This window comes from Homo sapiens, chromosome 12, assembly GCF_000001405.40.
Source record: "Homo sapiens chromosome 12, GRCh38.p14 Primary Assembly".
NCBI lineage: Eukaryota > Metazoa > Chordata > Mammalia > Primates > Hominidae > Homo > Homo sapiens.
Window position 1 is genome coordinate 111,356,311 of NC_000012.12, and position 23,962 is coordinate 111,380,272.

The window sequence follows — 23,962 nt, forward strand, 5'->3', positions numbered from 1 at the left end:
ATGAAGCCATCATCACCCTCCATCTCCAGAACTCTTTTCATCTTGCAAAACTAAACTCTGTCCTCATTCATCACTAACTCCCCATTTTGCCTCCCCTGAGCCCCTGCCACCCACTTTTCTACTTTTTGTCTCTGAATTTGGCTACTTTTAGTATTAGGTCGGTGCAAAATCAATTGTGGCTTTTGTCATTAATTGCAAAACTGCAATTACTTTTGCATCAAAATAATACCTCCTACAAGTGGAATTATATAGTATTTGTTTGATGGCTGGCTTATTTCATTTAGCCTAATATCTTCAGGGTTCATCCATGTTGTAGCATGTGTCAGAATTTCCTTCCCTTAAGGCTGAAAAATATTCCATTGCCTGGATAGACCACAGTTTCTTTATCCACTCATCCACTGATGGACACTTGGGATGGACACATGAGTAATGCTGCTATGAACATGGGTATGCAAATGTCTCTTCAAGACCCTGCTTTTGCCGGGTGTGGTGGCTCACGCCTGTAATCCCAGCACTTTGGGAGGCCAAGGCAGGTGGACCACCTGAGGTCAGGAGTTCGAGACCAGCCTGGCCAACATGGTGAAACCCCATCTCTACTAAAAATATAAAAATTAGCCGGGCATAGTGGTGCATGCCTGTAATCCCAGCTACTTGGGAGGCTGAGGCAGGAGAATTGCTTGAACCCAGGAGGCAGAGGTTGCAGTGAGCCGTGATCATGCCACTGCACTCCAGCCCAGGTGACAGAGAGAAACTCCATCTCAAAAAAACAAAAAACAAAAAACTCTGCTTTCAGTTCTTTCGGATATATACCAAGCAGTGAATTGCTGCATCACATGGTAATTCTATCTGTAACTATTGAGGAACCACCACACTTTTTTCCACAGTGGCTGCCTCATTTTACATTCCCACCAACAGTGCACAAGGGTTGTGCAATTTCTCCACATTCTGGCCAACACTTGTTATTTTCTGTGTTGACTGCAGCCATCCTAATTTGACTTGTATTTTGCTGCTGATTACTCATGGTGAGCATCTTTTCATGTACTTATTGGCCATTTATATATTTTCTTTGGAGAAATATCTACTCAAGTCTTTTGTGGTTTTTTTTGGAGACAGAGTCTCGTTCTACCCCCAGGCTGGAGTGCAATGGCACCATCTCGGCTCACTGCAACCGCCCCATCCTGGGTTCAAGCAATTCTTATGCCTCAGTCTTCTGAGTAGCTGGGATTACAGCTGCCTGCCACCACGCCCAGCTAATTTTGTATTTTTAGTAGAGACAGGGTTTCACCATGTTGGCCAGGCTGGTCTCAAACTCCTGACCCCAGGTGATCCTCCCATCTTGGCATCCCAAAGTGCTGGGATTACAGGCGTGAGCCACTGCACCTGGACTATTTGTTTTGTTTTGTTTTGTTTTTTGAGACGGAATCTTGCTCTGTCACCCAGGCTGGAGTGCAGTGGTGCCATCTTGGCTCACTGCAACTTCCACCTCCTGGGTTCCAACGATTCTTCTGCCTCAGCCTCCCGAGTAGCTGGGACTACAGGGACCCGCCACCACACCTGGCTAATTTTTGTATTTTTAGTGGAGACAGGGTTTTACCATGTTGGCCTGGCTGGTCTCAAACCCCTGGCCTCAGGTGATCTGCCCGCCTCAGCCTCCCAAAGTGCTGGGGTTACAGGCATGAACAACCTCGCCCGGCCTTTTGCCCAATTTTAAATCAGGTTTTTTTTGTTGTTGTTGAGTTTTAGGAGTTCTGTCTATAGTCTGCCTATCAGATTGCAAATGACTTGCAAATATTTTGCCCACCTTTTAAAAAAGTCTTCATCAGAAAAGTGCAAAACCTACAGCTAGGCTTAGACAACTTATTATTTTACCATCTTCGAAGAGTTTCATGTTGAATGCTGAGATTTTAGAAGTTGGGACAGGTAGCAGGAACTTTTTCTTTTTTTTTTTTTTTTTGAGACAGAGTTTTGCTCTTGTTGCCCAGGCTGGATAACCTCCGCCTCCCAGTTTCAAGCAATTCTCCTGCCTCAGCCTCCTGAGTAGCTGGGACTACAGGCATGCACCACCATGCCCGGCTAATTTTGTATTTTTAGTAGAGGCGGGGTTTCTCCATGTTGGTCAGGCTGGTCTCTAACTCCCGACCTCAGATGATCTGCCCCCTCAGCCTCCCAAAGTGCTGAAATTACAGGCATGAGCCACTGCACCTGGCCACAGGAACTTTTTCATAACAAAGTTTGTGCAAGGTGAGTGAGGTGAGGTCATCCGTGGAGGTGTTAGGGGGAGCAGACAGTTAGCACCAGATCTAGCCACACAGCACATAGTGGGGACAAAGCAGCCTCACTTAGGAACATCCAAGATGCAGGGCCATAGGGGGACATGATCTTCCTTCAATATTTGTTTACTCTTTAGGAAGGGATAAGAAGCAGTGGCCCCTTTACTGTAACAGGCAATCCCATTCTAGCCCCAACCTGCACCCCACTGAGCCAACAACAGCCCTGCAGTTGGTTACCCAGAACCACCCTGGAGTGTGCGCCAAACTCAGTATGGAGCACTTTCTTTAGAGTGGTCAGCTTCATGATTGCAAGATGGCTGCCACAGTTCCAGGCATCACAGACATTACTCCCCTTCTCCCTCCCCACAGAGAACAATGAAGAGATTTTTTTTTTTTTTTTTCCTGAGACAGAGTCTCGCTCTGTTGCCCAGGCTGGAGTGCAGTGGCACTCTCTCGGCTCACTGCAACGTCCACCTCCCAGGTTCAAGCGATTCTCCTGCCTCAGCCTCCCGAGTAGCTGGGACTACAGACGCATACCACCATGCCTGGGTAATTTTTGTATTTTTTAGTAGAAACAGTGTTTCACTATGTTGGCTAGGGTGGTCTCGAACTCCTGACCTCGTGATCCACCTGCCTTGGCCTCCCAAAGGGCTGGGATTACAGGCGTGAGCCACTGCACCTGGCCAATGAAGAGCTCTTTATTGTGTGTGTGTTTTGGAAGGAAAAAGACTCTTCCAACTCACATCTCATTGGCCAAAATCAGGCCACATGGTCGCTCTCTGGCAGTAAAGTTTAGCTATTCCCTGAGAGCCTATGGCAGCGTAACTGATTGCATTTGACTAAGTATTTAGGGTGCATGGATGTTTGGCAATCAGCCTAACCTCTCGCTGCAGTGTCCTGCTTGAGGGCCTCACCCTCTACCCCAAGTGGCTTCTCAGAATATTCCTTCTGACCACATACAGTGCCCCCTTAGACTTGTGCCCTGAACACCTCCCCTGGGTCCGGAGGAATCACTGACATATCAGCAGTTGGATGTCCAGCATTTTGCTGTTGACCCTCCCTCTTGGAGCTGTTTTTCTCTCCCGCTATTTCCCCTACTCTTTGCCCCATGCTGTACGGTGGCCGCGGTCACAAATGCCACAGGCAGTGCCCTGACTCAGCTTGTGTGGGGAGCCACTTCCCCAGCCTCCATCTGTCAGCTGTGGTCCCACAAGAGATGGAAAAAATTATTCAGCATGCACTAGATGCTCACAAGGGCCATGATTCCCTGATCTTCATACTTTTCATTTCTTGAACTTGAACAACGAGGACTTTAGGTTGCTCACGCTAAGCCACATGTTCCTAAATGTACAGGATTTTTCTAGGCTGGCAAGGGAGACCTGTGACCCAAGCTGAGTCCACGTGAAGAGGACCTAGGGCTTAAGTCCATCATGCTAGGCCACCTTGAGCCAGCCCCTTCTGTGAACCCATTAACCCAGTAGACAGACTCAATCAGTCAGAGAGCGGATACATGGCATGAGCACCACTACCAGCCACATGGTGCTCACGGCAGATTTTACTAATCAATCACAGACTCTTTCCCTCTGAACTTGCATTGGTGCTAGAATCCTCTTCACTCCAGCTCCCTCCACAGCCTCCATGAACTTATCAGTGAGAAGCACGCAGTTTCGACTCTTCCATCTGCCATCCTGATCAGGATTGTTAATGTCCCTCCCAACTCTCAGGTCTTCAGCCCAGTTAGCTTTCAAATCTTTGGCTTCTCCCTGCCTTCTCTACCTTCTGAAAAGGAACTTTGGGCTCCGTTTTCCCTCATATTCCTCCTGAAGACTCTGTCCTGTCACGGGATTTCAGAGATTTACATCCCTGCTCTTATACTCTCTAGCTATGTGGCTTTGGCAAGTTTCATAACCTCAGTGAGCCTGTTTCCACATCTGTAAAACGGGACCAGCATCTGCCTTGAGAAGTGAGAACGTGCCTGGCAGGGCACCAGCCATGTGGGACCACACACTAGTCCCTGCCCTTGCACAGCCTGCTCTGGGCTCTGCCAGGGAAATCAATCAAGGATTTTGATGGGGAAAAAAAATGACACAATCAGCCATTACTTGACAAAATTTTACTTTAGCCCTTGCATCTCCCTGCCAGGCTGCCGGACAGCTCCCCCGACACCCAACCCAGGAGGCAGCCTGATCCCACCTTGTGCTTTGGTAGGGGACATCCCTCACCCCTCTCTCCCAGGAGACCAGGGCCAACGTACCTTGAGAGTCTGTAAACCTACGCCAGGACTGGGGTTAACACCCCAGCCCACCAGCTGAGTCTGCCAGGACACGGGGCTCTGGGAAGCTCTGAACCCCTCCCATGCCCCAGATCCTGTGCCACCCACACCCACACCACTCAGGACTCTGGAAGGAGGTGAGCGGGGACCATACCAAGACCCCAGAGGTGCCTGTGGAGAGCAGGGCTTGCTGGGGGGAAGACAATGAAGCAGCCAAGGATCCCTCTCGAGGGGCTCTGTCTCTGGCTGTGCTTCTCCAGCCCAAGCTGCCCCTCTCCCCGGGGGCAGTGACAACTGTTCCCCCAGAGCAAGTCCAGAGTCACAGACCGTATCCCCTCCCACCAGCAAACAGGAAACTAAAGCAGTGAAAACATCAAGCTTTGTTGCCAGAGAAAAAAAAATGAACCCTAAGTATTTAAAATTCAGACGGAAGTCCCAGCCCACCGGGCCAGCCGTGAGCTGCAGAGGCCTTGATTGCAGACACACACCCCTCCATATTTCCCCAAGCTCAAGGGTCTCCAGAGACAGAAGGAAGGGGTTTTGGGCTGAGTCTGTCACCAAGAGGCAGCGTTTGGGAAAATCAAGGTCAGGGTGGAGGTGTCCTCAGGGGGCCACCGGTGTGGGGCACTGAGGACTGTAAACATGACCCAGGGTGAGGGCCAGGAGGTGTCCCAGCCCCGAGGTTCTCCCTGGATGAAAAATGGGCACTGTGGTGAGAAGAAAGGGGACCGGCGGTCAGCCCCGAAGCCAAGCAAGACCTGGTCCCCACCAGGAGTATGGGGGTGGGGGCTGAGCTCAGGAGGGGACATGTTAGAGGGGGCTGCCTGGAGCTGAAGAGGGGCTCTGGAAGCCACACTCGGTGTGCGGCTTTTTCTCCGCCACTAGGTCAGCACCTGGGCCTTCCTAGGCGGTGAGTCAGCTGGTGGCCTCCCCTCCCTGGGGGAACCTGCTAGAAGGTCACCTCGGGCCATGGCTACCCAGCCCAGGAAGGGAGGTCAGGCAAGCTCCCAAGGGGCCCCAGGCCTAGGGGCCAAGACTGAAGGATGCAGTCAAGGAGTGTCTGGAGAGCCCTGTGAGAGCCACCACGGAGACACAGACAGGGCCCGCGGCCAGAGAGCCACTGCCACCAGGAGCACCACCATGAGGCCTGGCAGGGGACTTTTGGCAGAGTCCTGCCTCAGCCAGCCCAGGCCAGGAGCCCCGAGGACCAGGCCACCTCACCCTTCCGGTCCTGCACTAACACCTGCACCTGTGTCCCCAGTCACTACCCTCCCAGCCACCGTCCTGCTCCTGGAGGCAGGCAGGCACAGAGCCAGGCCAGCTCCTCTGGCAGGTCCCGGAGCAAGGCCAGGCCCAGGTGTGGCTGCCATGACCGATCCTCCCTCTGTCCACCCTGAAGGCCTGGTCAGGAGCTGCACTAACTGTGCATTTGCTTTTCAGGCCACAGATCGCCCTCAGTCCCAGTGACCCTCTGAGCTGCAGGCCCGGCAATGCCTGTTGCCAGCACAGGCCTCTGCCCGGCAGCTCAGGCCAGCCTGGGGCCGGAGTTCTCAGGAAACCTCCCCCTCAGGCCCTGGATTCTCCTTAGTGTTGCACGTGACGTTCCCCTCAAGGGTAGGCCTTCTGGGTCACATGGTCCTAAAGGCCCACTCAGAATCCAGCACCTTCTCAGAGCCTGCATCCCCCAAAACCAGGCCACTCAGGGCCTGGGGGCCAGCCTTGCCCATGATTTCCCTCAGGATCTGCTCCCCCAGTCTCTCCAGGACCCGGCCTGTCCCAGAGGGCATAGAGCTTGTGTCCCCCTAAAACAGGCGCCCTGGTGGCCTCAGGGCTGGACCCGGCTGCTGAGCCACTGGCCACGCAGGGCCCGGATCTCCTGGCCATAGCACTCGTGCAGCCGGGCGAAGGGGGCCATGTCCAGGGGCCCGTGGGGTGCCGAGGCCCGGCGGCGAGGCGGTGGTGGAGGGGGCTCGGGTCCAGGCCTGAAGGTGGCCTCAGTGCTCCAGACAGCGCAGCCATTCTCCTTGGGCGGGAGGGCACTGGGCCGGCGGGGCAGGGGCAGGGCTGGGACCGGGGCTGGGGCAGAAGGCAGGGATGGGACTGGGGCCAGGGCAGAGGGCAGGGACGGGGGCAAGGGCAGGGACTGGGGCTGGGGCTGGGGCAGGGCCATGCCACCCCCGCCACGTACAGCCGCCAGCTGCTGCTCCAGCTCGCGCACCACCAGCCGCAGGTAGTCGAAGCTGGCACGCGACAGGGCCTTGACCCAGCCCTCCATGGCATCCTGACTCTCAGCGGCCAGCACGTAGGTGCGCGCCCGGGTCCCCGCAAAGCGCACAGCGAAGGCGAACTCCTCGGCGGCCTCCACCAGCTCCACAGTGCAGCCCTCCAGGATGATGACGCCCACGGGCTCACGGCTGGCAGCGTCCTCGAAGTAGAAGAGCATGTTCCCGCGCAGCACGAACCAGCGCCGGTGGTAGGCCGCGTGCCGCCCACCCTTCTTGTACAGGAAGCCTGCATTGTCCACCGGGGCGTCACAGGTGGCGTAGAAGGCCAGGCTGCGCTCGTTCAGCTTCATGGTGGCAATCGCGGGGCCTGGAGGGGAGCCTGGGGCCTGGACCCCATAGAAGGGCTGTTATGCACAAGGCCACTGACGCTAGGTCACCCAGTGCCCCAAGGGGACCTTGCAGCCACTCTACATCCCCGTTTCACAGATGAGGAAACTGACGCTCATAGGGTGGAAGCAGCTGGCCTATGCGCCCACAACTCCTAAGAAGCAGAGACAGGACTGGAACCTGGGTCTCACGGGCCTCCCCAGACAGCCTCATAACCTCCTACCCTCCTGTATCCCTGAAATAATGTTGTGAGTTCCTGCTGCATGCCAGACATTTCAGAGGAATGAACTCACTTTATCTCACAATAGACCTTAGGTCACAGGGACTGGCCTGGCACCAGTGCAACAGATGAGGAAACAGAGGCACAGAGAGGTTAACTGCTTCCCTGGTGTCACAAAGCAGGTTGGGCAGGGCTGAAATCCAAACCCAGGCCTCATTTCAGGCGCTGCTGTTTCCATCATCCCAAGAACAAGACCAGCTGGCCTTCTGCAGTCCCTGCCAGGTCCCAGCCCTGACTTTGTGGTTCGACTTTGGTTTGTTCATCCATGAAATGGATGAGCAGAACCAACTTTGGAGAGTTGTAGAGATTGATTTCATTCATAAAATGTTTATTAAGCATCTACTGGGTGCCAGGCATTGTTCCAGGCCTAGGGATATAGCAATAACAAGATGGACAGGGTCGTCCAGCCTGGCCAACACAGTGAAACCCCTTCTCTACTAAAAATACAAAAAATAAGCCAGGCGTGGTGGCGGGCGCCTGTAATCCCAGCTACTCGGGAGGCTGAGGCAGGAGAATCACCTAAACCCAGGAGGCGGAGGTTGCAGTGAGCCGAGATTATGCCATTGCACTCCAGCCCGGGCAATAATGTGACACTCTGTCTCAAAAAAAAAAAAAAAGATGGACACGGTCCCTGCCCTCGTGGTGTTGAAATGCCACTGGCAAGTGAAAGGGAGCAGACAGTTAACAAACAGATAAGACGTCTGCCAGGTAGTCTCATGTTCTATGGAAAATAGTAAGACAGGGGCTGGGCACAGTGGCTCACGCCTGTAATCCCAGCACTTTGGAAGGCCAAGGCCAATCCTTCTCACCTGAGGTCAGGAGTTCGAGACCAGCCTGGCCAACATGGCAAAACCCCATCTCTACTAAAAAACAGCCAGGTGAGGTGGTGCACGCCCATAATCCCAGCTACTTGGGAGACTGAGGCAGAAGAATCGCTTGAACCCAAGAGGCGGAGGTTGCAGTGAGCCAAGACTGCGCCATTGCAGTCCAGCCTGGGCGACAGAGCAAGACTCCATCTCAAAAAAAAAAAAAAAATAGCCAGGCATGGTGGGGGGTGCCTATAATCCCAGGTACTTGGGAGGCTGAGGCAGGAGAAGTGCTTGAACCCAGGAGACAGAAGTTGCAGTCAGCCGAGATTGCACTACTACACTCCAGCCTGGGGACAGAGCCAGACTCCGTCTCAAAAAAAAAGAAAGAATTTGGGGAAAGATGCAGGCCCAGGGCTAGGCTGACTTACAGGAAGGAGGGGCAGGGGGTCGACCCGTGCCATTTAGCATAGAGGACTCTAACTCCATGCCATCGGCCACAGTGACCCCATCCACCTTCCCCCAAGGAGTATATGATGGGGCAACGCTGGCCAGGAAGGACTTGTCGGGAGGTGGCATCTGCGTCCCTGGCCTGGCCACCTTCCCTTGGGGTTTTCCATGGCCATTTTGAGAGCCTGCCTTATCTCCCACTGCAGAGCCTCAGCCTGCATAGGATGGTAGCTACATTTTTCAAGAAGCAAAGGATATAAAGTCCTGGTACGCAGTAGGCACTCAGTGTTCATTCCCCTGCCTGGGTGGTGTCTTTCTCAGAGCCTGGTGGAATGAGGTCAGGGTGGTGGCTCTCCTGGGAGCAGGTGACCGCAGTGAGGCCCTGCCAGACTACCTGTCCTAGGGTGGAGGGGGTTGTCCTTGCCACCTCCTGTCAGCCACATAGGCAGTCAGGGAAGGCTTCCTAGAAGACGGAACATGAGTTGTGACTTAGAAACTGAGATCAACCAACCCAAATGCCCATCAATGATAGACTGAATAAAGGAAATGTGGTACATACACACCATGGAAAACTATCCAGCCATAAAAAGGAATGAGATCATGTCCTTTGCGGGGAAATAGATGGAGCTGGAAGCCATCATCCTCAGCAAACTAACACAGGAACAGAAAACCAAATACCGCATGTTCTTACTCATAAGTGGGAGTTGAACAATGAGACACATGGACACAGGGAGGGGCAGAACACATATCGGGGCCTGTTGGGGGATCGGGGGTGAGGGGAGGGAACTTAGAGAACGGGTCAATGGTGCAGCAAGCCACCATGGCACACGTATACCTATGTGACAAGCCTGCATGTTCTGCACATGTATCATGGAACTTAAAATAAAAAAAGAAACTGAGGTCAGTTTGTCCTGACCTAGTGGGAGGCCAAGGCCAGAGCCCCCAAAGTCTCCAGGTGTTGAATCCCCACCCTGCCTCTCAGCTACAGCTGTCCCTCTCTAAGCCGCAGGGATTCACGCATTCCCCACACCACCACCCATCAACTCCCATGTGGATGCTGGCCCCGGTTCTCACAGGACCCTCCCGCCCTGCTTGCCCAGTTCCGCTCCTACCTCTCAGGCCACCACTTGCCTCCCTGCCCTCTGCTCAGCTCCAGCCTCAGCTCGCTCTTCTCTGGATTCAAATGTCAGCTCTGCAGCATCTGGGCTGGGGGACCCCAGGCAGGCTATTCATCTCTCTGGGCCTCTGTTTCTGCATCTGTAAAATGGGATCGTAACAGTGCCTAAGTCAGGGCTGTTGTGACAATGATACAGTGACTATATGGACTTTGCGGAGCATGGGGCCAGGCACACAGTGCCTGCTGAGCGCGGTTGCAGTTCACATTTTTCTTGGCTTTTCCCCAAACATCCCTGTGTTGTGCTTCCGATCTCAGCAAATGGCCCTTGGTTTCCCTCTCACCCCCGCATCTGATCGCACATCAAGTCCAGTTGATCCCCCTCTCCAGCGTCTTCCAAATCAGTTGCCTAATCTGTCCACTCCACCTCCCCATTCTAGGCCCCATCACCATTCACTGGGATGGCTGCTGTAGCCTCCTCATAAGTCTCCTTGCCCCTCCCTGTCCATGTTCCTCAAGGTAAGATCCAAGCCTCCTTCCTAAGCTCTTCTCCGAGCCACACTGAAATCCACTTCCCACAGATGGATCCTGTGAAAATTAAGTCCAATCACACTCCTCCTCTGCTCTAAACCCTCCCATGGCTCCCTACTTCTCTCAGCATAAAATTAAATCCTTAGGCAGGGTGCGGTGGCTCACACCTGTAATGCTGGCACTTTGGGAGGCTGAGGGGGTAGGATTGCTTGAGTTAGAGACCAGCCTGGACAACATAGCAAGACCCTATCTCTATAAAAAATAGAAAAAAAAATAGCTGGGCATGGTGATACAAGCCTCTAGTCCTAGCTATCTGGGAGGCTAACATGGAAGGACCCCTTGAACTTGGGGGGTGACATAGTGAGATTCTGTCTCAAAAAAAAAAAAAAAAAAATCCAAGCCTCCCTTGGCTTCCAAGTTCCCTTTCCCTACCTCTTTCCCCCTTGTTCACTCAGCTCCAGCCATCCTGGCCTCCTTTCTGTTCCTCAAATACACCAGACACATCCCCACCTCCAAGACTTGGTCCCGGCTGTCTGCCTGCAGGTCTTCACAAGGCCAGCTCCCCATCCTTTGGTCTCAGCCTAGCTGTCACCTCCTCAGAGAGGTGGTCCCTGGCCACCCTATGCACAAGAGGCCCCCCAGTCCCTCTCCTGTGCCTCCACCTGAAATTAATACCTGGGTCATTTCTGCCTGCAGGGGCGTTTGTGGTCTGAATTCTAGTGCCTGGCATGCAGTAGGTACTCACACAGCTGTTTGATTCATTCTGCAGTATCTTCTGAAACCTTTCAACAGCCCCAAGACAAGGGATCTCACCCCACATTCACAGATGTGGAAATGGACACAGGGAGATTCAATAAGTTGGCTAGAGGCATACAACTGTGCCCAGAATCACATGCTCCAGGCAAGCCACCCAAATAAAGGGGCTGATCTTGGGGTCTCTCCACCCCATCAAGGCCAAAGGAATAGCAACTTCCCTCCTGCTCAGCAACCCTCCTCCCCCGACTGCCTAGATAGAGGCCAAACTGGTTCAAGGTCACCAGCAGGCACAGGACCCAGCTCTGCCCATGACCCCTGCCTCCACCAGAACTGGGAAGACAGGAAGCTGCAGGGGCACAGGCGCCAGCCTTGCCTGGAGCGAAGGCCTGGCCCCTGCCTTATCTCCCCACACTGTTTTCCAAGAAGTTCAGAGTCCACTGTGGGCACTGCTGCTGATTCAACAGCCCATGGCCAGACAGGAAGCTGGAGGGAGCCTGGCCCAGCTCTGCTCCCAAGGCAAAGTTCCTGCCTCCGCAGGTCCAGGCTGGAGGACCTTGGACAAGTCGTTTCACCTTTCCAAGTCTCAGTGTCCTCATCTGTTAAATTGGGCTGTGTGGCGAGGGTTCATGAGCTAAAAGAAGGAAAACCCACTGGCAAACTATGGGAAATGGATTGCAAATATTAGCTGCTGTGAGTCGGAGTTTTTTCTCAGCCTCATCTGCAAAATGGTGACGTTAACTTCCATCCCTCTAAGGGCTGAGTGAATTGACTCCTGAAGAGTCATTTTGCAAAATACTTGGTGGGTAGTGAGCTTTCAGGGAAAGAGCTGTCAAAAAGGCAAATAATTCATCCAAGATCTCCAGGGGCACAGCTGGCCCCGGAACCCAGGTCTCCTGGGAGACTGAAGCATGGCATTTTGGCACTCACATCAACGAAAAGAAGCCAGTACCGCAGGTCCTGGGGTTGAATCCAGCTGCCCTCAGTGTCCCCCAGCAGCGGGCGTGGGGAAGAGGGTGTGGCAGGCACAGGCTGAAAAACATGTGTGCCAAGAACACTAAAGAGCAGCCTGGCCGTCACCGCCCCAGCAGGGACCCCAGAGACACGCCAGCACCGCCGTCCAGACACAGGCAGCCCCCTTGTCCACGGCAGGGGCTGCTGCTCCAGGTGTGGCCCTGCTCCCGGCTGCTCTCTGTCCCTTTGTGTGTTGTGCGTGGGAGCTCTCTTAAGTTCCTTAAAGGACAGCCAGAGCCCCAGATGGGTGATCAGCGGCAGAATGGGGGGCTTATCCGCAGTCCCCACCAGCGGCAGACGTCCCTATGGGCTGAGAGAGGGGAGGGTGGTCATTGGCCAAGTTCGCCTCGGCAGCTGGAGAAGTCACCACTGGTGCGGAGTCCCAGCGGGGAAGATCCCCGCAACGCGCTCTCCAGGTGGCCGGGGGACCCCGAGGCCCAGGGCGGCCCGACCCGGGTCCCATGTCCTCGTGCATGTCCCCCCGCCAGGCCCGCCTTACCTCGCAGCGCAGGCCTAGGGCGGCGACGGGACGGGAGGCGCGAGGTTGCGGGGTGGCCCGGCCATGGTTCGGGACTGGCCCGGTGGCGGCGACGGCGGCGGCAGCGCTTTGTCTCCTGGGCGGCCGGGCCGGCGCAGCCGCGGGAGAGCGCGGATCCGACGGAAGGAGGCGGGAGCAACCGGACAGTCCGCGACCCACGGGCGCGCCCCTTTAACCCTTCCCAGCCTGCTCGCGCCGGGCCCGCCCCCGCGTTCTTCCCACCTCCCGATTGGCAGGCCCCGAACCGGCACGCCCCCGTGAGCCCGCCCTCGAAATCACTCTTAAAGGGTCCGCTCCTGGCTCGCGACTCCCCAGTTCCCTAGCCCAGAAAAGCGGATTGGAGCCCGGGAAGCTCATTGCGATTCCAAAGGTAAGGACTGGCCCAGGTCGTGGATTAGCCTGCAAAAGCATTTGGGGGTCCTGGGCGGGCCATTCGCTGAAGTCCTAGGCTTAAGTCCGAACTCCCCCCAGGACGAGGCAGGAGGATTGCCTGAGCCTAGTAGTTCAAGACCAGCCTGGGCAGCAGAGGGAGACCACCATCTCTACAAATAATAAAAATATTTGCTAAACCTGGGTTGCCAGGTTTAGCAAATTTAATGCCCAGTTAAATTAGAAAAATAGCTCTAATTCCTGAAAAATGTGTGAGTGGCAGAAAAAACAGCTGAATCCAGGACATTTGCGTACAGCACTGTTCCATACGGACAGGGCGCCTCGCAAGCTTCCCCTGGCTCCAGGTGAAGAGAGGAAGTTCTGGAATTAGGCAGACTTGAGTTCGAGTCGCACTAGGCCACTGAACACTGTGTGAGCTTAGAGAAATCATTTCACTTCTCTAAGCCTCCGTTTCCTCATCCGGAAAATAAAGACCATCATGATATGTAAAGTGCACGGCACAACAGAAAGCTCTCAAGAAATAGGAATTGCTGTTGTTTTTGCCCTGCCCACCTCCTTGAACCCTTCCTTCCTGTTCCTGCCGCCTCTTCTCCACCACCCGCCACCTCCCAATCACTATTAAGTCCTGGCCTGAAAGCAGGAAGAACAGGACAGACCAGGGTCAGCTCTCCATTGTACAGCCTCTCACTAAGCGCCTACTGTGTGCCAGGCACTGTACCTGAACCAGGTAAGCAGGTGCAGCCAGGAATCAAGACAACACAAATGAGTTCTGGAAGTGATTCATGCTAGGACTGTACGCTAAGGCAATGGGGCAGAAAGCCTGGGAGTGCAGTTTTTTTGTTTTTGTTTTTTGTTTTTTGTGTTTTTTTGTCACCCAGGTTGGGGTGCAGTGGCACAATCACAGCTCATTGTAACCTGAACTCCTGGGTTCAACCGAGCCTCCCACCTCAGCCTCCCAAGTAGTTGGGACTACAGGTGTGTACCACCACACCCGGCTAATTTTTTTTAATTTTTTGTAGAGATCGGGGGGGTCTTGCTATCTTGCCCAAGCTGGAAGTGCAGCTTTTAGACAAGGTGGTCAGGGAAGGCCTCTCTGAGGACAGACCTGGAGGAATGAGGGAGGGAGCCATGTGGTTATCTGGGAGAAGGAGGTCCCAGGCAGAGGGAACAGCAAGTGCAAAAGCCCTGAAATGGGGCCATCCTGGGCATGTTTGAAGAACAACGAGGAGACCAGTGGAGCCAAGTGAGCAATGGGAAGAATAGTAGGAAAATAGGTCAGCTGGCTGGGCGCAGTGGCTCACGCCTATAATCCCAGCACTTTGGGAGGCCGAGGCAGGTAGATCACTTGAGGTCAGGAGTTCGAGACCAGCCTAGCCAACATGGTGAAACCCGGTCTCTACTAAAAATACAAAAAAAAAAAAAAAAAAAAATTAGCCAGGCATGGTGGTGTACACCTGTAATCCCAGTTACTTGGGAGGCTGAGACAGGAGAATCACTTGAACCCAGGAGGCAGAGGTTGCAATGAGCTGAGATTGCACCACTGCACTCCAGCCTGGGTGACAGAGCAAGACTCTGTCAAACAAAAAAAAAACAAAAACAAAAAAAAAAACACAATAGATCAGAGATTATTGGCAAAGCCAGAAAGCCAGGTGACCTAGGGGCTTAAGGACCAGAGGAAAGATTTTGCTTTTACTCTAAGAAGAATGAGGAGCCATGGGAGGGTTTTGAGCAGAGGAGGGACATGGTCTGTGTTAGATTTAACATGGTCCCTGACTGCTATGGGCAGGGAATGATAGTAGAAGCCAGGCGATCAGGGAGAACACTACTGCAGTAGTCCAAGCAAGTGATGGTGGTGGCTTAGAGTGGAGCAGTGGAGGTGGAGAGAAGTGGTTAAGTATAGATATATATTTAATGGATATATGTATTAGTCCGTTTTCACACTGCTGATAAAGACATACCCGAAACTGAGAACAAAAAGAGGTTTAATTGGACTTACAGTTCCACATGGCTGAGGAGGCCTTGGAATCATGGCGGGAGGTGAAAGACACTTCTTACATGGCAGTGGCAAGAGAAAGTGAGGAAGAAACAAAAGCGGAAACCCCTGATAAACCCTTCAGATCTCGTGAGACTTATTCACTATTATAAGAATAGCGTAGGAAAGACTGGCCCCCATGACTCAATGACCTCCTCTTGGGTCCCACTCACAACACGTGGGAATTCTGGGAGATACAAATCAAGTTCAGATTTTGGTGGGGACACAGCCAAACCATATCATTTTGCCCCGGCCCCTCCAAATCTCACGTCCTCACATTTCAAAACCAATCATGCCTTCCCAACAGTCCCCCAAAGTCTTAGCTAATTTCAGAATTAACCCAAAATTCCACAGTCCAAAGTCTTGTCTGAGACAAGGCAAGTCCCTTCTGCCTATGAGCCTGTAAAATCAAAAGCAAGCTAGTTACTTCCTAGATACAGTGGGGATGCAGGTATTGGGTAAATACAGCCGTTCCAAATGGGGGAAATTGGCCAAAACAAAGGGGTTACAGGGCCCATGCAAGTCTGAAATCCAGTGGGGCAGTCAAATTTTAAAGCTCCAAAATGATCTCCTTTGACTCCGGGTCTCACATCCAGGTCACGCTGATGCAAGAGATGGGTTCCCATGATCTTGGGCAGCTCCACTCCTGTGGCTTTGCAGGGTACAGGCTTCCTCCTGGCTGCTTTCACGGGCTGGTGGTGAGTATCTGTGGCTTTTCCAGGCACACAGTGCAAGCTGTCAGTGGATCTACCATTTCAGAGTCTGGAGGATGGTGGCCCTCTTCTCACAGCTCCACTAGGCAGTACCCCAGTAGGGACTCTGTGTGGGGGCTCTGAACCCCACATTTCCCTTCTGCACCACCCTAGCAGAGGTTCTCCATGAGGGCCCTGCCCCTGCAGCAAACTTTTGCCTGGGCATCCAGGCATTTCCAAACATCTTCTGAAATCTAGGCAGAGGTTCCCAAACCTGAATTCTTGACTTCTGTGCACCCACAGGCTCAACACCACATGGAAGCTGCCAAGGCTTGGGGCTTCCACCCTCTGAAACCACAGCCTGAGCTCTGTGTTGGTGCCTTTCAGCCATGGCTGGAGCAGCTGGGACACAGAACACCAACTCCCTAGGATGCACACAGCACAGGAACCCAGGGCCTGGCCCACAAAACCACTTTTTCCTCCTGGACCTCTGGACCTGTGATGGAAGGGGCTGCCAGGAAGTTCTCTGACATGGCCTGGAGACATTTCCTCCATGGTCTTGGGGATTAACATTAGGCTCCTTGCTACGTAATGCAAATTTCTGCAGCCGGCTTGAATTTCTCCCCAGAAAATGGGCTTTTCTTTCTATTACAATTTACTTCTTATTTTTTTCTTTTCTTTTCTTTTTTTTTTTTTTTTTTTTTTTTTGAGACAGAGTCTTGCTCTGTTGCCCAGGCTGGAGTGCAGTGGTGTGATCTCAGCTCACTGCAACCTCCGCCTCCTGGGTTCAAGCGGTTCTTCTGTCTCAGCCTCCTGAGTAGCTGGCACCAGGTGCACGCCATTGCACATGGCTAATTTTTTGTATTTTTGGTAGAGATAGGGTTTCACCATGTTGGTCAGGCTGGTCTTGAACTCCTGACCTCAGGTAATCTGCCCACCTTGGCTTCCCAAAGTGCTGAGATTACAGGCTTGAGCCACCGCTCCCAGCCTGCAAGTTACCTCTTGAATGCTTTGCTGCTTAGAAATTTCTTCTACCAGATACCCTAAATCATCTCTCTCAAGTTCAAAGTTCCACAGATCTCTAGGGCAGGGGCAAAATGCCGCCAGTCTCTTTGCTAAAACATAACAAGAGTCACCTCTGCTCCAGTTCCCAACAAGTTCCACATCTCCATCTGAGACCACCTCAGCCTGAATTTTATTGTCCATATCACTATCAGCATTTTGGCAAAGCCATTCAACAAGTCTCTAGGAAGCTTGAAACATTCCCACATTTTCCTGTCTTCTTCTGAGCCCTCCAAACTGTTCCAACCTCTGCCTGTTACAGTTTCAAAGTCACTTCCACATTTTTGCCTATCTTTTCAGCAACACTCCACTCCTGGTACCAATTTACTGTATTCATCCATTTTTGCACTGCTGACAATGACATACCCAAAACTGGGAACAAAAAGAGATTTTTTGGGTTTTTTTGTTTTTGTTTGAGATGGAGTCTTACTCTGTCACCCAGGCTGGAGTGCAGTGGTGCAGTCTCAGCTCACTGCAACCTCCGCCTCCTGGGTTCAAGCAATTTTCCTGCCTCAGCCCCCTGAGTAGCTGGGATTACAGCTGCCACCACGCCTGGCTAATTTTTTGTATTTTTAGTAGAGGTGGAGTTTCACCATGTTGGCCAGGCTGGTCTCGAACTCCTGACCTCTTTTTTTTTTTAAATACTTTAAGTTCTACAGTACATGTGCACAACGTGCAGGTTCGTTACATATGTATACATGTGCCATGTTGGTGTGCTGCACCCATTAACTCGTCATTTACATTAGGTACATCTCCTAATGCTATCCCTCCCCCCTCCCCCCACCCCACGACAGGCCCCGGTGTGTGATGTTCCCCATCCTGTGTCCAAGTGTCGAACTCCTGACCTCTTGATCTGCCCTCCTCAGCCTCCCAAAGTGCTGGGATTACAGGCGTGAGCCACTGCGCCCGGCCAAAAAGAGGTTTAATTGGATTTACAGTTCCACGTGGCTGCGGAGGCCTCAGAGTCATGGCGGGAGGTGAAAGGCACTTCCTACATGGTGGCGGCAGGAGAAAATGAGGAAGAAGCAAAAGCAGAAACCCCTGATAAACCCATCAGATCTCATGAAACTTATTCACTCTCATGAGAATTACACGGGAAAGACCAGCCCCCATGATTCGATGACCTCCCCCAGGGTCCCTCCCACAACACATGGGAATTCTGGGAGATACAATTCAAGTTGAGATTTCAGTGGGGACACAGCCAAACCACATTAATATATATTTAAGATATATGTAAAATTTGATGATAGGTTGCATGTGGGGAATGAGAGAGAGACAGAGAGAGAGGAAGGAAGAAAAGGAGTTAAGAATAACTCCAGGGGCCGGGCACAGTGGTTCACGCCTGTAATCCCAGTACTTTGGGAGGCCAAGGTGGGTGGATCACGAGGTCAGGAGTTTGAGATCAGCCTGGCCAAGATGGTGAAACCCCGTCTCTACTAAAAATACAAAAAAAATTAGCCAGGCGTGGTAGTGGGTGCCTGTAATCCCAGCTACTCGAGAGACTGAGGCAGAGAATTGCTTAAACCCGGGAGGCAGAGGATGCAGTGAGCTGAGGTCACCCCACTGCACTCCAGCCCGGGCGACAGAGCAAAACTCTGTCTCAAAAAACAAAAAAAAAGAAAAGAAGAAAAAGAACTCCAGGGCCAGGTATGCTGGCTTACATCTGTAATCCCCGCACTTTGGGAAGCCGAGGCAGGAGGATCACTTGAGCCTGGGAGTTTGAGACCAGCTTGGGCAACACAGGGAGACCCCATCTCTACAAATGATAAAAATATTACCCAGGGCTGGACACAGTGGCTCACACCAGCAATCCCAGAACTTTGGGAGGCCAAGGTGGGTGGAGACCTCGTCTCTACAAAAAATAAAAAATAAAAATAAAAAGGACTCTCAACTTTTGGACCTAAGTAATGGGAAAAATGGAGATTCGAAGGGAAAAATCCAGATTAGTCTTTTCATCAAATTGAGCTGGAATAACTGGATATTCATATAGAAAAAAACAGCCTTGATACTTACCTCATGCCATACATAAAAATTAACTCAAAATACATCAAACTCTTGCACATAAAAGCTAAACTCTAAAATCTCTAGAAGAAAATAGGGGCTGCCAGGCACAATGGCTCATGCCTGTAATCTCAGCACTTTGGGAGGCCAAACAAAGTGCGAGGATCGCCTGAGTTAGTGACCAGCCTGGGCAAAATAGTAAGAACCCATCTCTTAAAAAATTGTTTTTTAATTAGCTGGGTGTGGTGGCGCATGCCTGTAGTCCCAGCTACTCAGGAACCTGAGGCAGGAGGATCGCTTGAGCCCAGGAGGTCAAGGCCGCAGTGAACTAGGATCACGCCACTGCACCCCAGCCTGAACGACAGAGTGAGACCCTGTCTCCAAAAAATAAGTAAATAAGGTCGGGCACGATGGCTCACACCTGCAATCCCAGCATTTTGGGAGGCCGAGGCGGGCAGATCATGAGGTCAGGAGTTTGAGACCAGCCTGGCCAACAAGGTGAAACCTCATCTCTACTAAAGATACAAAAAATTGGGCCGGGCATGGTGGCTCATGCCTGTAATCCCAGCACTTTGGGAGGCCGAGGCGGGTGGATCACCTGAGGTCAGGAGTTCGAGACCAGCCTTACCAATATGGTGAAACCCTGGCTCTATTAAAAATAAAAATAATTAGCCGGGTGTGGTGGCGTGTGCCTGTAGTCCCAGCTACTTGGGAGGCTGAGGCAGGAGAATTGCTTGAACCCTGGAGGTGGAGGTTGCAGTAGCTGAGATTGCACCACTGCACTCCAGCCTGGACGACAGAGCGAGACTCTGTCTCAAAAAAAAAAAAAAAATACACAAAATTAGCCAGGCATGGTGGCACATGCCTGTAATCCCAGCTACTCGGGAGGCTGAGGCAGGAGAATCACTTGTACCCGGGAGGTGGAGGTTGCACCAAGCCAAGATCGCGCCATTGCACTCCAGCCTGGGCCACAGGGCAAGACTCTACCTCAAAAAAAAAAAAAAAGGAACTAAAAATAATAAAATAGAAAATCTTTACAACTTTAGGATAAAGATTTCTTAAGACTCAAAGAGCATAAACTAGAAAAAAATAAAAATTGGACTTCAGTAGGTTGGGGGGTTTTTTTTGTTTTGTTTTTTTGAGACAGGATTTTGCCCTGTTGTCCAGGCCGGAGTGCAATCTCAGCTCACTGCAACCTCCATCTCCTGGGTTCAAGCATTTCTTCTGCCTCAGCCTCCCAAGTAGCTGGGACTACAGGTGTGTGCCACCATGCCTGGCTAATTTTTGTGTTTTTAGTAGAGACAGAGTTTTGCCATGTTGGCCATGCTGGTCTCGAACTCCTGACCTCAGGTGATCTGCCGGCCTCACCCTCCCAAAGTGCTGGGGTTATAGGTGTGAGCCACTGCACCCGGCCCATATTGACTTTAAAAAAGATAAAGGTTGTTTTTAAAACCTGTTTAAAAAGAGAGAGAGAGGGAGGGAGGGAGGGACGGAGGGAGGAAGGAAAAGGGAAAGGAAAAGGAAAAGGAAAGGAAAGGAAAGATACCATCAGAGAAACAAAAAGATAAGCCACCAACTAACTGAGAAAAAAAATTTTCTTGATATATATATCTGACAGAATCTGAATGCCAGATCTATATAATGAAGTCTTACAACCCAATAATAAGATAAGCAACCCAATCTAAAGACAGGCAAAAGATGTGTGTGTGTGTGTGTTTGAGACAGGGTTTGGTCCTGTTGCCCAGGCTACAGTTCAATGGCATGATCTCCGCTCACGACAACCTCTGCTTCCCAGGCTCAAACCATCCTCCCATCTCAGCCTCCCAAGTAGCTGGGACTACAGGCGCGCGCCACCATGCCTGGCTAATTTTTTTTTTTTTTTTTTTTTTTTTGTATTTTTGGTAGAGATGGAGTTTCACCATGTTGCCCAGGCTGGTCTCGAACTCCTACACTCAAGCAATCCTCCCACCTGGGCCTCCTGAAGTGCTGGGATTACAGGCATGAGCCACCATGCCTGGCCCAGGCAAAAGATGTTAACAGATATTTTATAAAAAGCTGTAATATGGGCCAGGTGTGGTGGCTCACGCCTGTAATCCCAGCACTTTGGGAGGCCGACGTGGGTGGATCACAAGGTCAGGAGATTGAGAATATCCTGGCTAACCTGGTGAAAACCCGTCTCTACTAAAAATACAAAAAATTAGCTGGGCATGGTGGCGTGCGCCTGTAGTCCCAGCTACTTGGGAGGCTGAGGCAGGAGAATGGCGTGAACCCAGGAGGCAGAGCTTGCAGTGAGCCAAGATTGTGCCACTGCACTCCAGCCTGGGCGACACAGAGTGAGACTCTGTCTCAAAAAAAAAAAAGCTATAATATGATATACTGGCTAATAAGCAATGAAAAGATGCCCAGTGTCATTACACATCAGAGAAATGCAAATTGAAACCAAATGAGCTAATACCATGTTCCAATTAGAAAGGCCAAAATTAAAAAGACTGACAACACCAAGTGCTGGTGAGGATGTGGAACAACTGAACTTCCATACTGCTGATGGGAAGGTAGAATGGTATAGCCACTCTGGAAAACAAATTGGCAATTTCTTGTAAAAATGAACAGAAACTCTGCCAGGCAAGGTGGCTCATGCCTGTAATCCCAGCACTGTGGGAGGCTGAGGTGGGCGGATTCACCTGAGGTCAGGAGTTTGAAACCAGCGTGGTCAACATGGTGAAACCCCATCTCTACTAAAAATACAAAAGTTTGCTGGGCGTGATGGTGGGCGCCTGTAATCCCAGCTACTTGGGAGGCTGAGGCAGGAGAATCGTTTGAACCTTGGAGGTGGAGGTTGCAGTGAGCCGAGATCGCACCACTGCACTCCAGCCTGGGTGACAGAGCAAGACTCTGTCTCAAAAAAAAAATAAAAAGGCCGGGTGCAGTAGCTCACGCCTGTAATCCCAGCAGTTTGGGAGGCCAAGACGAGTGGATCGCCTGAGGTCAGGATCAAGACCAGCCTGACCAATACGGCGAAACCCCATCTCTACTAAAAATACAAAAATTAGGCAGGCGTGGTGGCATGCGCCTGTTGTCCCAGCTACTCCGGAGCCTGAGGCTTGTTTGAACCTGGGAGGCAGAGGTTGCAGTGAGCCAAGATTGCACCACTGCACTCCAGCCTGGGTGACAGAGCAAGAGTCTGTCTCAAAAAAAAAAAAAAAAAGAAAAAAAAAAAAAAGAACAGAAACTCGCCATGTACAACCCAGTAATCCCACTCCAAAGTATTTACCAAAGAGAAATGAAAACATGACCACACAAAGACCTGTATGTGACTATTCATAGCAACTTTATTCAGAAACACCAGAAACTAGCAACAACTCAAATATTCATCCACAGATATATGGAGAAACAAATTGTGGTACATCCATTTGATGGAATAGTGCTTAGCCATGAAAAGAAATAAAGTTTCCATTGACATTAAATAACCAGGAGAGCCAGCCACAATGGCTCATGCCTATAATCCCAGCACTTTGGGAGGCCGAGGCGGGCGGATCACCTGAGGTCAGGAGATTGAGACCAGCCTGGCCAACATGGTGAAACCTCGCCTCTGCTAAAAATACAAAAATTAGTTGGGTGTTGTGGCGTGTGCCTGTAGTCCCAGCTACTCGGGAGGCTGAGGCAGGAGAATCGCTTGAACCCAGGAGGTGGAGGTTGCAGTGAGCCAAGATTGTGCCACTGCACTCAAGACTGGGTGACAAAGGGAGACTCTGTCTCAAAACAAAACAAAACAAATAACCAGGAGAGAGAAATCCAAAGAGCAAGAAATATTTGTGGTTGCCCAGGGTTGGTAGGTAAGGAATAACTGCCAACCAGCATGAGGTTTCCATTTGCGGGGATGAAAAAGTTCTGGAACTAGATAGTGATGATGGTTGCCCAACAAAGTGAATGTACTTAATGCCATTGAATTGTACAGTTTAGCAGTTTAGAATGGTTAAAATCAGAGGTGTGGGGTGTGTGTGTGTGTGTGTGTGTGTGTGTGTGTGTGTGTGTGTGTTTGTCAGACACCAAACCAGATCCAGGATAAAATGGTAAGTTTTATGTTACCTGTACTTTTCCACAATTAAAAAAAGGAAAGAGGCTGGGCACAGTGGCTCACATCTATAATCCCAGCACTTTGGGAGCCCAAGGCAGGAGGATTGTTTGAGCTCAGGAGTTCAAGACCAGCCTGGGCAACATAGGGAGACCCCCATCTCTACAAATAATAAAAATATTAGCCAGGCTTGGTGGCACATACCTGTGGTTCCAGGTACTGAGGGGCTGAGGTGGGAAGATCGCCTGATCCTGGGAGGTTGAGGCTGCAGTGAGCTGTGATCACGCCACTGCACTCTAGCCTGGGTGGCAGAACGAGATCCTGTCTCAAAAAAAAAAGAAGAGGCTGGGTGCGGTGGCTCACGCCTGTAATCCCAGCACTTTGGGAGGCAGAGGCAAGCAGATCACCTGAGGTCGGGAGTTTGAGACCAGCCTGACTAACATGGAGAAACCCCATCTCTACTAAATATACAAAATTAGCTGGGCGTGGTGGCGCATGCCTGTAATCCCAGCTACTCGGGAAGCTGAGACAGGAGAATGGCTTGAACCCAGGAGGCGGAGGTTGCAGTGAGCCAAGATTGTGCCATTGCACTCCAGCCTGGGCAACAAGAGCGAAACTCCATTTCAAAAAAAAAAAAAGAAGAAGAAGAAAGACATGCAACAACCTGGATGCCTCTCAAACATTGAGATTCTGAGCAAAAGATGCTGTCTGGGTCCAAGTGAAAGATGATGGTGGCTTGGAAAAGGGAACAGCGTTGAAAAACTGTACAAGATGGTCACAGGTTAGAAGTGGGAGGTGAAGGGATGGGAGGAATTGATGCAGTGGCTAAGTTCCTGGTCTGGACATCTCAGCAACTTGAGCAGGGGGACAGGACCAGGACTCAGAGAAAAGAGTATAAGTTTGGTTTTAAATATGCGGAGAGACCCATTACATGTGAAACAGCCAAAATCACCTCTTCTAGGAAGGCCTCCTTGACTACCTGCTCTATGGCCACCCCCATCATTGCCAACCCTTGCTGATTTCATTTTCTCCACAGCTCTCATCACCGCCTGAGAAGTTTCTTGTCTGTTTAT

At 51.5% G+C, this 23,962-nt stretch overlaps 1 protein-coding gene and 1 long non-coding RNA gene across 9 annotated transcripts in view, besides 2 other annotated features; one reads left to right on the forward strand and one right to left on the reverse strand.

Moving 5' to 3' along the window:
* On the reverse strand, positions 4,369 to 12,785 carry PHETA1 (PH domain containing endocytic trafficking adaptor 1). 6 transcript variants are annotated; one of them, NM_001177996.3, is made up of 4 exons: positions 12,602 to 12,785; positions 9,803 to 9,947; positions 9,254 to 9,341; positions 4,369 to 7,153 (listed from the first exon to the last, which is right to left on the reverse strand). In NM_001177996.3, the coding sequence occupies exons 3-4, from the start codon at positions 9,254 to 9,256 to the stop codon at positions 6,368 to 6,370; spliced, it is 789 nt and encodes a 262-aa protein (NP_001171467.1). In that variant the 5' UTR covers positions 9,257 to 9,341; positions 9,803 to 9,947; positions 12,602 to 12,785; the 3' UTR covers positions 4,369 to 6,367. The 6 variants fall into 6 exon arrangements, with proteins under 6 accessions (NP_001171467.1, XP_006719320.1, NP_001171468.1 ...); XM_006719257.4 differs by lacking the exon at positions 9,254 to 9,341 and adding an exon at positions 12,019 to 12,412; NM_001177997.3 differs by lacking the exon at positions 9,254 to 9,341 and having other exon boundaries at positions 9,822 to 9,947.
* Positions 5,446 to 6,102: an enhancer, noted in NCBI's record as "H3K4me1 hESC enhancer chr12:111799560-111800216 (GRCh37/hg19 assembly coordinates)". NCBI's record gives its function as "activates a minimal SCP1, AML or CMV promoter by ChIP-STARR-seq in naive H9 embryonic stem cells {active_cell/tissue: H9 hESC(naive)}" and the evidence as "EXISTENCE:reporter gene assay evidence [ECO:0000049][PMID:30033119]".
* Positions 12,376 to 12,955: a silencer, noted in NCBI's record as "silent region_4865". NCBI's record gives its function as "represses an Ori minimal core promoter by ATAC-STARR-seq in GM12878 lymphoblastoid cells {active_cell/tissue: GM12878}" and the evidence as "EXISTENCE:reporter gene assay evidence [ECO:0000049][PMID:35858748]".
* Positions 12,951 to 23,962, forward strand: part of LINC02356 (long intergenic non-protein coding RNA 2356) — a 34,050-nt gene continuing 23,038 nt past the window's right edge. For 2 of the 3 annotated variants that reach the window (NR_187522.1, NR_187521.1), the window contains exons 1-2: positions 12,951 to 13,010; positions 15,659 to 15,760. This is a non-coding gene — a long non-coding RNA (long intergenic non-protein coding RNA 2356). The remainder of the gene's footprint in view (positions 13,011 to 15,658; positions 15,761 to 23,962) is intronic. The other variant, NR_187520.1, reaches the window with a different exon arrangement.